The sequence below is a fragment of the Homo sapiens genome, chromosome 15 (assembly GCF_000001405.40).
Source record: "Homo sapiens chromosome 15, GRCh38.p14 Primary Assembly".
Classification (NCBI taxonomy): Eukaryota; Metazoa; Chordata; class Mammalia; order Primates; family Hominidae; genus Homo; species Homo sapiens.
In genome coordinates this window covers 82,934,993-82,951,673 of record NC_000015.10, presented here as the reverse complement: position 1 = coordinate 82,951,673, position 16,681 = coordinate 82,934,993, and the positions used below count along the sequence as shown (strand labels likewise).

Below are 16,681 nucleotides of genomic sequence, written 5' to 3'. Positions count from 1 at the left end.
CCTTGCCACTGCCTGACGTGGGCATGGAGGCGGGTAAGTGAACCAGAATTCCTAAATCTCTCTGTTCCCTGCTGCTGAACCCAGCATTCTTCCAACAGCCCTTCGCAGGACTCAAATGCTTCTGCTCCAAGGGTCTAGAGATCTTGCTTTCCTGTTTGGGATGGGTGGGGCCTGGGAAGGCAAGAGTGCAGTGGAAGGAGCAAGATTGTCCTGGTGCCCTGGCTCAGCCCCCCTGGGTCAGTGGCTTTCTTGCACCGTACTCCAGGTTAAGTTTCTGGAGTCATTTTGCCTGGTGAGTCTTAGCCATGGGAGCTGCAGAGTGTGTGAGGGGATCAGAGGCAGGCCAAGAGGAATTTTGAGGAATGGAAGTGTGAGGGCTGTGGGCCAACATGAACTGGACATGACAGAGGTGGGTGACAGAGAGGAGGAGGCGAGATGAGCAGCGAGGGCTGAAGAAGTGTGCTTACATTTAGGAGATTTCACATGAACAGCAACTGTGGGTGATTTTACCCAGAGGCACCCAAGTTGGCAGGCCGTATTTCTGTAACATTTCCAGTGAGTCCTCAGTGGACTGTGAAAAGGCTGATCTTTGAGCAGTGAGAGCCTTTGAGGTTCTCAGATTTCATACTTTAAAAAAATGTACAGGGAAAAAGGAGTTGGCAAATGTAAGGTCTCAGAATGGAAGATAAAAGGGATCCGGTAATTTTAACTCTCTTTCTGGCCCTCCCTCCCCCTGGCCAACACAAAACCAATCCACCGTACTTGTGTGATCAAAAACAAGTACTGAAACTCTGTGGTTGAGATCAAATAGTTCTGTGGAAATGAAAATGTTTACTCACTCATAAAACCTTAAAGAAAATGTCAAAAAATAATTTTTGTTTGTGGAGAAGCAGGGAGGAGACGCTTGGGGATTTTGTTTAAACACAGAATATGTCTTTCATGTAATTTTAACATCATTCGATAAATGTATATATTACTCACTTCTCGTAGATAAAGGCTGGTTTGTAACTCCTACCTACCTCTGCCATTTTTAATAGATCCATGTCTTCTATTATTTATGTGAAAATACAAGCCATGGTCGTAAATTGAGATGCAGCTAAGGGCTGGGGAAGCAATTCAGACAGGAGGGTGGAGGGAGCCGTTTTAACTGAAAATAGAACCAATGTCATCCTTTCTGAGAGTTGTGTAGGATGGAGGGGGAAGAACTTTTTGAAAGGGCAGCTAGTAGAAAACCTTGCTGCGATCCTACAGCTTCGTCATGGCTCTGCTGTGTAGACAGGACTAGGATTTAAGGGAAAAAAAAACAAACTATCTGAGTTTACCTCCCCCCAACTTGAGATGCTTCTCCTCCCTCAAATGTTCACTACCATTTTCCACTTCTCTTCTGCGAAGTGTTCTGTGTTAAGTGTGGCCTCTCCAGTGAGTTTGTGTTCTTACTCCCTAAGGCAACTATTTCATACCTATTCCCCTTTCCAGACCTCTCCCCTTCCTAGGCACACCCCGTGGCTTCCCTTTCAATTGACAAGATAGGCACCTTTGACCAAGGGAATGTCTTCATTTTGCCACCACCTAGTCTAGTATGCAGCTGCTGCTACCTTCTCCTACCTGCCTGCTGTGCTGGATGACCTGTCCCTCATCTCTTCCTACTAGGGGCCCCTTCTTCTGGGGTAGCCTCCATTCCATCCCTTCCTCCTCCCATCTTTTCAGAGATTGTCTCTCCTTCCTAACCACCTTTCTCTCCGGGGTCTTCTCCATCAGTATAGGAGCATACATCTGACCAACAGAACTTTCTGCACTGCTGGAAATGTTCTGTATCTGCGTGGCAGCCACCAGCACATGTGGTTATTGGACACTTGAAATGTGGTTGTTGAGACTGAGGACCTGAATTTTTAACTTAATCTAAATTTAAATAGCCACATGTAGCTAGTGGCCACCATATTGGATAGCATAGCTTTAGTTGCTCTCATCTTAAAAAGGAGATCTCCCTCCCTCCTACATCCCTCTCCTGTTTCACTTCTTTGCTCTTCTTCACCTGAAAACACCTCAGAAGATACATCCAAACCCACTGGCTCCATTCACTTTCTCCTGCCATTTGTTCACTCTCCATACTCTACAGTCTTGCTTCTGCCTCACCTCTGCACCAAAACTGCCAGGGTCTTGGGTGACCAGGGGGTTGCCAGATCTCAGCCTCACCTCACTTCACCTCTCTCAGCAGCATTCCTAACAAATGACCACTCCCTCTCCTCAAAACAACACCCCTCTCAGCTCCTCTGGCCCCACTGTTTCCTGCTTTTCTTCTTACTCCTAATCATGGGGTTGCCCAGGGACTGGTCCTGGTTCCTTTTCTCTGTCCACACTGTCTTCCTAGGTAATACTGTCCCACCTGCAACTCCTCCCCACCCTCCCATGGCTTCAAATGCCATCGATATGCCCATGATGCCCACACTTTAATTTCTAGCTCAGATCTTTCTTGGAGCTTCTGACTCTCGTCAATACATGGAGCTCTTGATATGCCTTCCAGCTCTCACCTGCCTTCCGTCTTCCCCATCCAAGTCAGTGGCCCTACCATGCACTCATTTGCCAAGAGTCATGTTTGAGTCCTCTTCCCAACCTCTCACATGCAGGCTATCAGTTTGTCCTGTGCATTCTACTTCCGGGATATATCTGGAGTGCATTCACCTCACCCCATAGCCATAGTTCCCACTCTAGCCACCATCACCTCTTTCCTAACAGGCCCCCCAGTATCCACTCTGGGTTGTCTGCAGTCCATTTTTCACACAGAAGCCTAAGTGACCAGCTTTTAAAATCATAAATCAGATCATGTCATTCCCCTTTTTAAATACCTCCCACTGACCAGGCGCTGGGCGCAGCTCCCCCTGCCATGCTGCTGTGCCCCTCACTGTGTTCTGCTAACATAGATCTCCTTTCCTTTTCTTGCCTTACCTGAGATCCTTGCACTTGCTGTTTCCCCTGCCTGGAATTCTCTTACCTTCCTCTTTCCTTTCAGACTTTGGCCTCAGGGTCACCCCTTCAGGGTCTTTCCTGCCATCCTGTCTAGAGCACCCACCTCCAGAACTATCTAACCCAGCCCCTTTTCTTTTTTCTTTTGTTGAGACAGAGTCTCCCTCTGTCACCCAGGCAGGAGTGCAGTGGCACGGTCTCTGCTCACTGCAACCTCTGCCTCCCAGGTTCAAGCGATTCTCATGCCTCAGCTTCCTGAGTAGCTGGTATTATAGGCATGTGCCATCACACCCAGCTAATTCTTTTTTTTTTTTTTTTTTTTGAGATGGAGTCTCTGTCTGTCGCCCAGGCTGGAGTGCAGTGGCGCGATCTTGGCTCACTGCAAGCTCCGCCTCCCGGGTTCACGCCATTCTCCTGCCTCAGCCTCCCGAATAGCTGGGACTACAGGCGCCCGCCACCACGCCCAGCTAATTTTTTGTATTTTTAGTAGAGACGGGGTTTCATCGTGTTAGCCAGGATGATCTCAATCTCCTGACCTCATGATTCGCCTGCCCCGGCCTCCCAAAGTGCTGGGATTACAGGCATCAGCCACCATGCCCGGCCACACCCAGCTAATTCTTTTGTATTTTTAGTAGAGATGGGGTTTTACCATGTTGGCCTGGCTGGTCTTGAACCCTTGGCCTCAAATGATCTGCCCACCTCAGCCTCCCAAAGTGCTGGGCCCCAGCCCTACCTTTGTTTCCTATAATTGCTCACCACAGCATGCCAGTAAGCATGCAGGTGTTATTTACTTATTTATAATCCGTCTTCCCCCAGTAGCATCCCAAAAGGATAGGACCTTATCTTTTTCACCAGTGTATTCCAACACCTAGCACAGTGCCTGGCACCAAATAGGCCTCCAGTAAATAATTTTTAATTGAGTTAATGCTTGAATGTTGTGGGCAGCCTTGCTTGGATGCTGGCCTGGAAGCTGTGATAATTTTTGGGTTAACTTTTATATAGCTTGCTTAATTGGGAGTTGCAAGGGCCAAGAGAGAAAGAGATCACATTTGGATGCAGCTTTCTTTTAACATTAAAGCAAGCCATTTAGCTTTCATTGTGATGTGGGTTAATTTTCGGGCCGTCTGCTGTCATTTGAGTACTGGAGTTGTAAATTACCTTTTTACTCTCCTGCAAAAGACTAACAGAAAAGCCAGCTTGTCTACTGTTGTGACTTTTAGCTGATTTTGTCAGTGTTTACAAATAAGATCTACTGTATTACTGTTTGGCTTCATTTTACACTCACTTATTTTGTTCAGCCAAGATTACCTTGCCATGTACAGGTGCCACAATCTTGGTTATCTAACACCTCAGGCTGCCTTTTGGTACTCTATACCGATTTACTTTCTTTTGATGTTCATTCATTCCTTCTTTAATTTTCCATTCCCTCTGAATCACACCAGACTCTGTAGTTCCAACAAATTATAGGGCTGTTCTTTGGGGTTTGAGTTGACTGCAATAGATACAGTCTTTCAGATATGTTGAGGTGAGTTTGTCTTCTCTTGGTCCTGTGGGTTTGTTAAACTTCACTTTCTAATATTCCTTCAGTCTGTACATTGGTAAGGCAGTTGGCAAGTGCTGTAGGGATCCAGAGATGAGCAGACCCACTAGTTAGTTCCTGCCCTTGGGGAGCTTATATTTTGAAAAGGGAGATAAACTACATACACAAGTACCAGCTTTATATGTGAAATGCTGTGAGAGTAAACACAATGTTATAGTCCTTTGGGTATCACAGGTGGTGGTGGAGGGGTGCCCATCTATTTGGGGAATTGAGGAAAGATGCCGTGGTACATTGTGGGGAGGACAGATGCTGTGGTACACTGATGGTTACACAGCCATCCCTCTTAGTATCCGAACTGGAAGAATACACAGAATTTGGAATGGAGTAGGCACTAAATAAGTAGATATTGAATGAGTGTGTAAATAGGTGTGAATGAATATTCTCTTTTGGTTGACTTTCTTTGTTTTTGTTTTTTTAATAAAATACACAGTTTATTACATAGCAATAGGATAAGGAAGGGGACTAGAGGATGTTGCAGTAGGATAGAGATTTTAGATGGGGATCCAGTTAGAAGACTTCACTGAGAAGGAGGCATTAAAGAGCTGAAAGAAGGAGGAGAGTGAGCCATGGAGGTGTCTGAGGGAAGTGTTCCTGGCAGTGTGAATAGTGCGAACAGCAGGTGTAAAGGCCCTGAGGCAGGGGCATGCCTGGCTTGTTCAAGAAATAGTAAGGAAGCTAGTATGGCTGGAGCAGAGTGAGCCAGAGAGAGCACGAAGGTGAAGAGGTCAGGGAGGTAGCAATGGCCAGACCAGTCTTTGGGTTGACTTTTACTTTGGGAAGATGCCATCATTCTCGTTGGAAACTGCCCTGAAGTTTCTGGTCCAAGTGTTGTTAGGAAAGAATAAAGGCATGTTTGCTGCTCGCACAGTTCGCTGGAAATATCAGGGCCAAGTAATTCTGCTGAAGCGGGACGCTGAGCAGAGCACATGGTTTATTTTTGTCGAATAGACTCAGTGATTTGTGTAAATTATTAGGTTTCTTTTCTGGAATGGCTCCTGAGGAACTTAGAGTTAAATGTGTGGTGACCCTTAGCAGATTTATCAGACTTCATCCATTACCTTTATTTCTAGCTCAGTGTGATGGCCCTACCCTTGTTTTGTCTTTACCCTTTATCATCTACCACTTTTTTTTTTTAATGTTTTTGAGACAGAGTCTCACTCTGTTGCCCATGCTGGAGTGCAGTGGTGCGATTTCGGCTCACTGCAACCTCCGCCTCTTGGGTTCAAGCGATTCTCCTACCTTAGCCTCCCGAGTAGCTGGGACTACAGGCGCCTGCCACCACACCCGGCTAATTTTTTGTATTTTTAGTAGAGATGGGATTTCACCTTGTTAGCCAGGATGGTCTCGATCTCCTGACCTCGTGATTTGCCCGCCTTGGCCTCCCAAAATGTTGGGATTACAGGCGTCAGCCACCGCGCCCGGCCATCTACCACTTTTTTTCTTTTTCTTTTTTTTTTAACAAAAGGAAAATAGCTTTGCTTTTTTCTAATTATAAAAAAACTACATGTTTATACTGAAAAATAACAGCATAAAGAAGGAAGTGAAAATTACTTGTCATCCCACGTCTTAGGGATAACCTCCATCAGCATTTCAATGTCTGCCTTTGTACTTTTTTCCATGTATATATGTCTGTGTGTGTCTAGATGTATGTCTACATAGAGCAAGTCTATTTTTAACAAAATGCAATCATTTTATACATCTGTCTTGTAACATAATTTTTCCAACTTAAAATATCTTGAGTGGACATCTTTACATGCCAATAACTATAAAAATACCTCATCATTTAAATCCACACCTACTTCTAATTTGTCATTTTGCTAAATCTTATACATCTTTGTAAACCTATTTAAATCCTTTCTGGAACAAGACAGGCTCTTTTTTTTTTTTTTTTTAAGACATTTTAACAATTTCTTAAAGCAGTTGTTTGCTTTAAATGAATTACTGAAGGAAAGAAATGGTAGAGGAGACCAAGATCACAATTAACATTGGGTAATTTGCAGTGCCTGTGTCATTTGGGTGAGTCACGGCTCCTTAGTGAATCTTGGTAAGAACATCAAGGATTCATCGTTGTTGCTAAGGTTGGTTGGTGGACCGAGACCCAGCTGCTCAAATTGTTTCTCCTTGTTTGGAAATATCAGGGCCGAGTAATTCTGCTTTAAGACTTGGATGAGAAGGCTCTTTGCAAGCAGGAAGCACCCATGCCCATACCTCGAAGGCCCCCTTCTGCTTTGAAGGTTCTTTGGTGTATATCACACCCCCTCCTTCAAAGAGAATTCCCCCAGTGAGCCAGTTGGCAGGGATGTATACAAAAGGAAGGACATTATATTTCCTGTTTTAGTATGAAGGGAAATTAAAAATTTAAAAAAAAAAAACCGTGGGCAAATCCACTGAAATGTCACCACAGCCTGCACAAACATCTAAAACCTTTGGATAAAGAACTTCTCTTTGATACACGGGGTGGGGCTGAGGGCAGGGACCCCTTTTCCATTTGACAAGAAAAACCTTCTTCACCTTTGTCAAACGTGAACAGCAGTCAAATAGCATATTTACAATAGAGAAAAGGCATTTTTCTGAATGTTAGAAATCTGTGGTGTATCAAGTCCTGACTTTATAGATCTTGAGAGTTAGACTTTGTTTTTTCCCCCCAGGGTGAAAATAAATTGAGCAAAAAGAAGCATTGTGAGGAATTGGGGCATAAAGCTTCTAATTTGCATTGGTTTTGATCCACTGGTCTTTTAAGCACTGCTTGTTATGTGTCTGCATTTTCTAGGTATTGTGCACACAGACTGCCCCCAAGTCGTATTTATAGGTTTGGAGGTGAGAGCTGGCATCATGATCCAGTTTCCTAGCGGGGTGCGTTTTGTGTGGGAAGAACGGCAGGATGGGAGCCTCTGAATGCATGATGAAGACTCCAGTAGTTCTGCCACCGGGGTGCTGTTAGTCATATGGTATCATTCTGGTAGAATTTATTTAAATTATATTTCAAATTAGCTTGTTAGAATAAAAATATGCTTGTGGGGAACACATTTAGACATTTGTCAAAGACTAGAGAGATTTAAAAAAAAAATTTTTATTCATAAGCCTGGTTGATAGTCTTATTATTATTCCTCTGAGGAATTGGAGATGGTAGAGTCCCCACCCCTGTGCAGACAAGCTTAGGATGAGGCTTTGCCACTAGCCAGAGGAGTCAGGGTGAGAGCCGTGTATTAAAAAGAAGCTCTTGAGTACACAAGTGGCTCCCAGTCAAAGGAGGGCCGAAGTGAGGGCGGGTCCCAGCTATGCAGGGGCTCTAGGAGGCCCCTTTCTTTGCCCTGCCTGGGGAAATCTCTGTCCAGATCACCAGTGAGGGGCAGGCCAAGTCCAGTCTGCCTTTAGTCCTCCTTTTGTTCTGCGGGTAATCTTGTCTGTGGGTTATGGGGTGGGCGGTATCCACAGGGACCTGATGAGTGAGGAATATTGCAGACCCCACTGCCTGGGCAATGGATCCTTTTTGGGATCTCTAATTGGGAAAGCTTTTAATTGGAGTTTTTAGATAAATGGAAAAACGAAGAGTTGTTTTAGCTTGTGTCCTGTGGGAGCTGGTGACAGAGAGAGTCCTCATGGGGAAAAGGAATGGAGCCTCTTCCAGGATGCTCCAAAGACAAGGAAAAGGAGCTCCCAGTGGAGGTGGCATCAAGACATATTTCAGCTCACTTGGTATGAGGAAGAGCTCTCTAACTCCTCCAAGTGGACTGAGCGTAGACTCAGCTGTCTCAGCTGCATTGTCATGGAGCACCGTTGGTTGTGGGAGCTGGGAAGGCTGGTTAAGCACATACAGCTCAAGCCCCAGCCCTCCTCACCCTCACTGGCTGTGTGAGCTTAGATGACATATTTTCTCTCTCTAAGCTTTACTGTCCTCATCTATTAAATGATTGAGGTGATTAAATAGAAAATGTGTATAGAGCATTTAGCACAATGCCGGACACATAAATAGTAAATGATGGCCAAGTTTATCATCATTATCATTACCACTGCCATCATTTCTTCTTTGGGTGGGAAGTTGGCCCTTTGGGCACCGTCTGGAGTTAGGTGGTTGGGGATGACATGTGCTTCCATTCCCTCATCCTTAATCCCCTTGGGCACTCTCTGAGTCTTCAGCCACTGTGTGGCTGCCTTCCAGACGACCCAGTCACTCTGCTCCCAGTCCTGAGCAGTGCCAGAGTTGGCTTCCAGTCATCAGGTGACTCAGGCAATCCGAGGCTTACCCTGTGAAATGTTGCCTCATATTGCTAAGCCTCTCAGGTGGTGTGGGTGGAGGAATGTCGCCAGCCAGAGGATCGGGAAGGCCGGGAGAATGAGCTGACCCATGTATATCAACAAGAAAACCGGTCTGCCAACTCGTTGCTTTTACAGGGAGGTGCAAGTGTGGACAAAGTTAAGTGGTTTCTCCCCATTGTGGCATCAGACTAGGGATTTGTGTTGCTGGTCAGGGAGCTCCTCATTGATTATTTGTATATGCATTCGCTCATTCATTCAGCAGTGACCTACCTGTGTCAGGCATTGTCGTGGGTGCTCGGAACACAGTGATGGACATCGGTGGCTCTAGGATGCTTACAGGCTAGTGGAGAAGTTGGACATCACGTAAACACTGCCCAATGGATGGGCATTGGAGGATGTTGTACCAGGGGCCATGTGGACTAGTCAGTAGTTTCAGGGTCCCTGTATGTCTCTGGACTCCCATCCTTACTCGTATGGATCTGAATTCCTTTCTGATCACCCTTCATCAGTTCGTCAGCTCTTTTACCTTTCTTGATCCTTTGGCCAATGACCATCACCTGAATGTTGAGTACCTTCTCTGGGCTAGACACCAGGAAGACAGGTCGTAAGACAGAGTCCCTGCCTTCCTGAGGGAGATGGCTGGTGAGCAGGTAATTAGGGCAATGAAATAAGCCTGTTATTGAAATATGAACGTAGATAGATGCTTAACTCTGTACGAAGTTAGAGAAGGCTTCCTGAAGGAGGTGACATCCAAGCTAAATCTTGAAGGATAAAGAGGGGTTTCTCAGGCAGACAAAATGAGGAACAGGGCATTTAGGCAGAGAGTGTTGCCTAAGGGAAGTAGTGAAGTATGCGGGTCAAGAACAGGGACCTTGGACCCAGTCTTTGCCTGGCCATTCACTGCCTGTGTGACTGGAGCAATGTGCTGACCTTCTTTGAGCTTCCATTTCTTCATCTGTGAAATGAGAATAATAATAGTATTATACCAATGTTGTAGGGTTGTTGTAAGGATTGAATGAAACACACATGTTGATTTACATTAGCTATTAATAATAGGCATGGAGATGGAAAAGAATGTGGAGTAGAAGGTGAATGTGGAGAAAGGCTTGGGAAGGTATAGGCATGAAGGAGAGAGCTTTGGGCTAAGGTGTTGGGAGTTAATCCTGTGAGTGGCAGGGAGCCAGCCATAGGTGAGGCTGGAGGTCAGGGGAGCAGCTTGTCCTGGTGTTGAAGAATGAGGCCTGACCTGGGCATCAAGCAGTGGGCTTGGAGAGGAAGAGGTGACTTGGGGTGGGTGGCAGGAGCGCACTATACTGTATGGACTTCAGTCTGTAGGCAGTAAGGGAACATTTTCAGTTTTGAAGAGAAGAATAATGCTTGTTTTAGGATTTTTTTTTTTTTTTTTTTTTTTTTGAGACAGACTCTCACTCTGTCGCCCAGGCTAGAGTGCAGTGGTGTGAACTTGGCTCACCGCAGCCTCTGCCTCCCGGTTCAAGCGATTCTTGCGCCTCAGCCTCCCGAGTAGCTGGGATTACAGGTGTGTACCACCACAACCGGCTAATTTTTGTATTTTTAGTATAGAGGGGGTTTCATCATGTTGGTCAGGCTGGTCTTGAACTCCTGATCTGAAGTGATCTGCCTGCTTCGGCCTCCCAAAGTGCTGGGATTACAGGTGTGAGCCACTGTACCCAGCCAGGAAAATTATTTTAGAGATAGTAATGAAGGGTAGTATGGAGATTGGAAGGAAAGAGACCTCATAGGAACTGGTCACACTCCAGGCAAGAACTGAAGGGATAGAGAGAGAAAGCTGATATAGCAGATTTATATAATGTAAACCTTGCCTTGCTCTGTAATGGATCTGAGGCAGCTTCTAGGGTTATATGTAATACTGTAAAAGAGGAAAACATATGGAAGATTCCAGACTTCTCACTGGGGGTGAGAGTTAGATTTTTTTTTTTTTGGAACAGGGTCTTGCTCTGTCACTCAGGGAGTACACTCCAGTGCAGTGCAATCATAGCTCACTGCAGCCTCAACCTCTGGGCACAAGCGATCCTCCCACCTCAACCTCCTGAGTAGCTGGGGCCGCAGGCACATGCCACCATACACAGCTAATTTTTTTTTTTAAGACAGAGTCTCCTTCTGTCACCCAGGCTAGAGTGCATCTCAGCTCACTGCAAGCTCCACCTCTCAGGTTCACGCCATTCTCCTGCCTCAGCCTCCTGAGTAGCTGGGACTACAGGCACCAGCCAGGCACCAGGCTAATTTTTTGTATTTTTAGTAGAGATGGGGTTTCACTGTGTTAGCCAGGATGGTCTCGATCTCCTGACCTCGTGATCCGCCCGCCTTGGCCTCCCAAAGTGCTGGGATTACAGGCGTGACCCACCACGCCCAGCCCATGCACAGCTAATTTTTTATGTTTTGTAGAGATAGGGTTGCACTATGTTGCTCAGGCTGGTCTTGATCTCCTGAGCAATCCTCCCGCCTTGCAGGTCTTTCATATATAGTTGTTAAATGAGGACACAATTAAGCTATCATTTAATGAGAACTTGGTAGGTTGGAGTCACTATGCAGAGTGCTGTCTATGCAATATCTCATTTAACTCTCACAACAACCTCCCCATTTTCTTTTTCTTTTTTTTATTATACTTTAAGTTCTAGGGTACATGTGCACAATGTGCAGCTTTGTTACATATGTATACATGTGCCATGTTGGTGTGCTGCACCCATTAACTCGTCATTTACATTAGGTATATCTCCTAATGCTATTCCCTCCCCACTCCCCCGACCCCACGACAGGCCTCGGTGTGTGATGTTCCCCACCCTGTCTCCAGGTGTTCTCATTGTTCAATTCCCACTTATGAGTGAGAACATGCGGTGTTTGGTTTTCTGTCCTTGCGACAGTTTGCTCAGAATGATGGTTTTTAGCTTCATTCATGTCCCTACAAAGGACATGAACTCATCCTTTTTTATTGCTGCGTAGTATTCCATGGTGTATATGTGCCACATTTTCTTAGTCCAGTCTATCATTGATGGACATTTGGACAACCTCCCCATTTTCACAGTTGAAGAGACTGGGCTTAAGAGATTCAGTAGCCTACCAAAGCTGTCAGTCAGGACATGGCAGAGTTGGAAACCAAGCTTGAGCATATCTGAGAGCAAAATTCATGTTCTTTTTTTTGTTGTTGTTGAGATAGAGTCTTGCTCTTTCACCCAGGCTGCAGTGCAGTGGTGCAGTCTCGGCTCACTGAAACCTCTGCCTCCCAGGTTCAAGCGATCTTCCTGCCTCAGCCCCCCAAGTAGTTGGGACTACAGGTTTGCACCACGACACCTGGCTAATTTTTTTTGTATTTTTAGTAGAGACGGGGTTTTGCCATGTTGGCCAGGCTGGTCTCGAACTTCTAGCCACAAGTGATCCGCCCACCTTGCCCTCCCAAAGTGCTGGGATTACAGGCGTGAGCCACCGTGCCCGGCCAAAATTCCTGTTCTTAAGATGCACTTTCTGGAGACCAAAGCTCCCATGAGAGTCATGTGGTGGATGGACTCCACTCTTGGTTGTTAGGATGAGAGAATGCAAGAGGCTGAATTACCATTGACGTGTATGTTTCTAGGCTGTGCGGCTGATAGTGGTGATGTTGACTGAGATTGGGAACGTAAGAGGAGATGCAGTTCTTTTGGGGAAAATGAGAGTTTAGTTTTGGGCGGATATGGTGACTTTTCACTTGTCCAGGCTATCCATAGCAAGTATAAATTCAGCTCTAACACTCAACAGTTCAGATAGAGTCAGAGATACAGATTTGGGAGCCATCACCTCTAAGATGGATTTGACCTTCTAAGGAGAAAGAAAGTCAAGAAGGATAAAGATGGAACTCTGGCCAAGGCCTGCAACTGGAGGGAAGGAAAAGAAGCCGGTGAATGAGCCTGAGAGGTGATGAGACTCAGAGGAAGGCTGGAGGAGAGAGGGGTTGCAGAAGCCAGGGGAGAGGAGGCTGAAAAGGGGAGCATCTTCAACAGGGTCAGAGGCCTCAGAAAGCTTAGAGGAGGCGGGAGACTGAGACTGAGACTCCCTGTGGGAGTGGGAGTGTTAGGGCACTGAGGGAGTTTGAGAGCAGCCTCAGCCAAATGTGAAAACACAAATCCATTTGCAGGCAAAATGCATTTAATAAGTGAGTATGTGAGGAGCGGGTGGAGAAGTCTAGCTGATGATGAAGGTAGCTTGAAAGTGAGTCAGGGTAGAAGGACCATTGATGTTTGTTTCATAAGTTGAGGATGTTGGGAGTCTGAGGGTAAAGAAAAGGGGAGATTGAATATCTTAGAGAAGGATGAGAGGCAGTAAGGTTGGAGGCAGGCGGCAACTAGAGGAAGACCTGAAGAGGAGTGCATCGTCCTCAGAGACCAGGCAAGGTGCAGGTATAGAGGCATTTTGAGGCTGTGGCCAGAAGAGGGGCATAGGAGCTTGATCAGCTGGCATTTTCTTTTTTTGCGGGGGACGGTGTCTTGCTCTGTCGCCCAGGCTGGAGTGCAGTGGCGCGATCTCAACTTACTGCAACCTCTGCCTCCTGGGTTCAAGCAATTCTCCTGTCTCAGCCTCCTGAGTAGCTGGGATTACAGGTGTGTACCACCACGCCCGGTTAATTTTTGTGTTTTTTCAGTAGAGACGGGGTTTCGCCATGTTGGCCAGGCTGGTCTCAAACTCCTGACTTCAGGTGATCCACCCACCTCAGCCTCCCAAAGTGCTGGGATTACAGGCATGAGCCACCATGCCCAGCTGAGCTGGCATTTTCTTCTCTGTGTGAGATAAGGGATTGATCTGAGAACCGGAGGGTAGATCAAGAAGGAAAATGGGTTGATAAAGCTGGTTGTAGGGTTGGGGCGAGGAGTGAGCTGAAGCAAATACTGACTAGAGAACAGCCTTCAGGGACCGGTTGAAGATTGAAGACTGTGACTTTGTAAAGCTGCCAGTGGCCACTGGTAGATGGTGTGCCAACATGCCAAGCAACCAGGGAGTAAGAACAGATGCAAGCAGTCCCAGACCCAGAAGGTGGGTGCACAGGGACAGCCACCCTGATCGGACTCGGAGTGCTTTGCCATCCACAGCCCTGGGCACACCATGTGGGAGGAGGGGGAGCCTGCTCTGTCTCCATTGGTCACCTCTTTGCCCTCACTTCTCTGAGTTGCCAGTCATTGTTCTGTTGTTAATTCTTCCAGACCCTTTCTGAAAAATGCATTAAAATTCTCACCAGCATGACCTCTTTGAGTAATGAGATCTGTAAGTTTATTAACCTCTGTGAGAAGTGGATTTTCTTGCTCCATGGGAGCGGATAATGTCTTGGAGGGAACGAACATTAATGTGCTGACCTGGAGGGCAGAGGCAGTGTGAGGGCAGCTTATCTGTGTCCCTCCCAACTCTCTGACTTAACGTGTGTCTCATGGAACTCAGGGAATATGGGCTGATTGCTTCTGCACATCACTGTCCCTCAGCCCACTCAGTCCAGCAGCAGCCCAGAGTCAGAGAAACCAAACCATAACAAAATCCAAGTTTCTGTCACTGAGTCTCATTCACTAAGTTTGAGAAGGGGAAAGCTGAAGGTGAGAGCATGAAGTCTTATGCAGAGAAGAATGTCTAGACTGTATGTCATTCACAGTGGCCTGGGAACCCATTGGCGTTGGGAGGGGCAGCAGGATATTTGCTGTATGACTATGTTGAAACACATCCTCTGTCATCCCAGTGTTGGCCTTCAAATGTGCACATGTCATGGATATTTGACATGAGCTAAGTAGTGATGATTCATGACTTCATCCTCATTACTTGGATATTTCAAGCCTGCTATAACCTAACCCAACCTAATAGTCTTGTGTGTACCCTGAATATTTTTGGTCCAGGCCCCTCTATATTGTTTAGCACATAAAACATTTAATTATAATATGAAGTTATAATCTGTTATAATCTGTGACTCCCCCACCCTTGCCTTCCAGACCAGCTCTGTCTAATAGAAATAGGAGAGCTGGCCAGGCATGGTGGCTCACACCTCACACACTTTGGGAGGCAGAGGCAGGCAGATCACTTGAGCTCAGGAGTTCATGGAGAAACCCCATCTCAAAAAAAAAAAAATACAAAAATTAGCTAGGCATGGTGGCATGCACCTACAGTCCCAGCTACTTGTGAGGTTGAGGTGGGAGGATCGCTTGAACCTGGGAGACGGAGGTTGCAGCGAGCTGAGATCACGCCACTGCAGTCCAGTCTGGGTGACAGAGCAAGAGTCTGTCTCAAAAACAAACAAAAAAAAGAAATAGGAGAACCATGTATGTAATTTTAAGTTTTCCAGTATCCACATTAAAAGATTGACAAGAAACAAGTGAAATTAAAATTTTAATCCAATATACCAAAAATAGTATCATTTCAACATGTAATCAATGGTGAGCAAAACAGACACCATCCCTCTCTGTGTGGAATTTACATTCTAGTGAGGGAGACAGCTCCACCTGTCCCTGGCCCCTCCCCTGAAAACACAACCTGTAAATGGATCCACAAATAAAATAACTGCAGGTTGTGCTTAGTGCCAGAGGGAAAAAAGCAAGGGCTGAGACCGACTTTAGAATGTGTGGTTGTGAGATGCCCCTCTGAAGAGGTGGTGACATTTAGGCTGCTACCGCATGTGCAGAAAGGGAGCAGAGCGTTCTAGGTGGAGGAAAGAGCAGGTGCAAAGACTGCAAGTAGGAGGGGGATGTCTGGAATGTTTGAGAGACTGAAGTCAGACCAGCAGGGCAGGATTGCAGCAAGTGAGGGGAGGGCACCCTGTCTCAGATTGGAGAAAGACGTATGCGAGGACGAAATTGAGCTGAGGCATGGACTGGCGGTTTTATTTGATGGGCAGTATGATTCAATAAAAGTGAAAGGTTTTAGCAGGGCTGCAGCATGATCCTTCTTCAGATTTAAGAAGAGCACACTTCTGCTCTGTGGGGGATGCAGTGGAAGGGGACAACAGTTGAAGGAAGCAAGGAGACCCATCGAAGGTCTCCAGGTCAAAGTGGTTGCTGGCTGAGGCTGAGAAGGTCACAGAGGAGACAGAAGTGGGTGGGTTCTACAGAAGGCTTGCAGATGGATTTGTAAGAACCTTCAGATGGATGAGATATGGCATAAGGGATGAGGGAGAGGGAGAGAATAAAGAAGGCCCCTTTGGGTTTTAGGTTATGCCACTAGGAGATGTAGGGAAGTCTGGAAGAGGAGCAAGTTAGGATGGGGGTGTGGGAGTCAAATTCAGTATCAACAGGTTCAGGTTGAGGGGGTGAGTGGAGGTGGAGCTGGGGAGGAGGTAGGTAATTGTATGAATCTGTGGCTTAGCCGAGAGGTCAGCTGGGAGAAGGCTAGTGAGGTCACCCAGGGAGGGAGGGCAGGCAGAGAAGGAGAGGGCTCAGGATTGAGTGTGTAACACCCATCCTTTAGGTGGCCATAGAGGAGGAAGAGCCAGCAGAGAAGATAGAGGAGGAGTGGCCAGTGAGGTGTGGTGGCCTCAGGGTGGCCAGTGGAGAAGTGTCCTAAGCAGGAGAGTTTGGGCATTGGTTTGAGCACTGCTGAGATGGGTCCAGGAGCCAGGTGGGTTGGAAGGTGAGTGCGAGGCTGGGGAGCAGGGTTATGTGGACCACATTTTGAAGAAGTTGACTGTTAAGGGAGCAGAGAAATAGGACCATACATGAGAGGGCGCAGGTGCGGAGGGAAGCATTGAAGGCAGGAGATGCAGCAGGCGAGGTGTGAGGGGAGCGCTGCCAGTTGAAGGCGGGGGGCAGAGGAGCCCAGGCCTTGAGAAGATGAGAGGCTGTGGTTCAGAGCCCCAGGGAAGGAGGCCACCATGACAGAGATGCAGGCGGG

At 46.7% G+C, this 16,681-nt stretch overlaps 1 protein-coding gene and 1 long non-coding RNA gene across 15 annotated transcripts in view; one reads left to right on the top strand and one right to left on the bottom strand.

The window, feature by feature from the left end:
* HOMER2 (homer scaffold protein 2) overlaps positions 1-16,681 on the top strand; it is a 151,497-nt gene that overhangs the window by 34,484 nt on the left and 100,332 nt on the right. The window contains exon 1 of one of the 14 annotated variants that reach the window (XM_011522233.4): positions 16,377-16,420. The exons of the other annotated variants lie outside the window; for them this stretch is intronic. Coding sequence (XP_011520535.1) covers positions 16,392-16,420 — 29 coding nt within the window. The 5' untranslated portion in view covers positions 16,377-16,391. Of the gene's footprint in view, positions 1-16,376; positions 16,421-16,681 lie in introns of those variants that run through there. 14 annotated transcript variants of the gene reach the window in all.
* Positions 9,701-16,681, bottom strand: part of LOC105370928 (uncharacterized) — a 49,172-nt gene continuing 42,191 nt past the window's right edge. The window contains exon 5 of the long non-coding RNA XR_007064741.1: positions 9,701-9,773. This is a non-coding gene — a long non-coding RNA (uncharacterized LOC105370928). The remainder of the gene's footprint in view (positions 9,774-16,681) is intronic.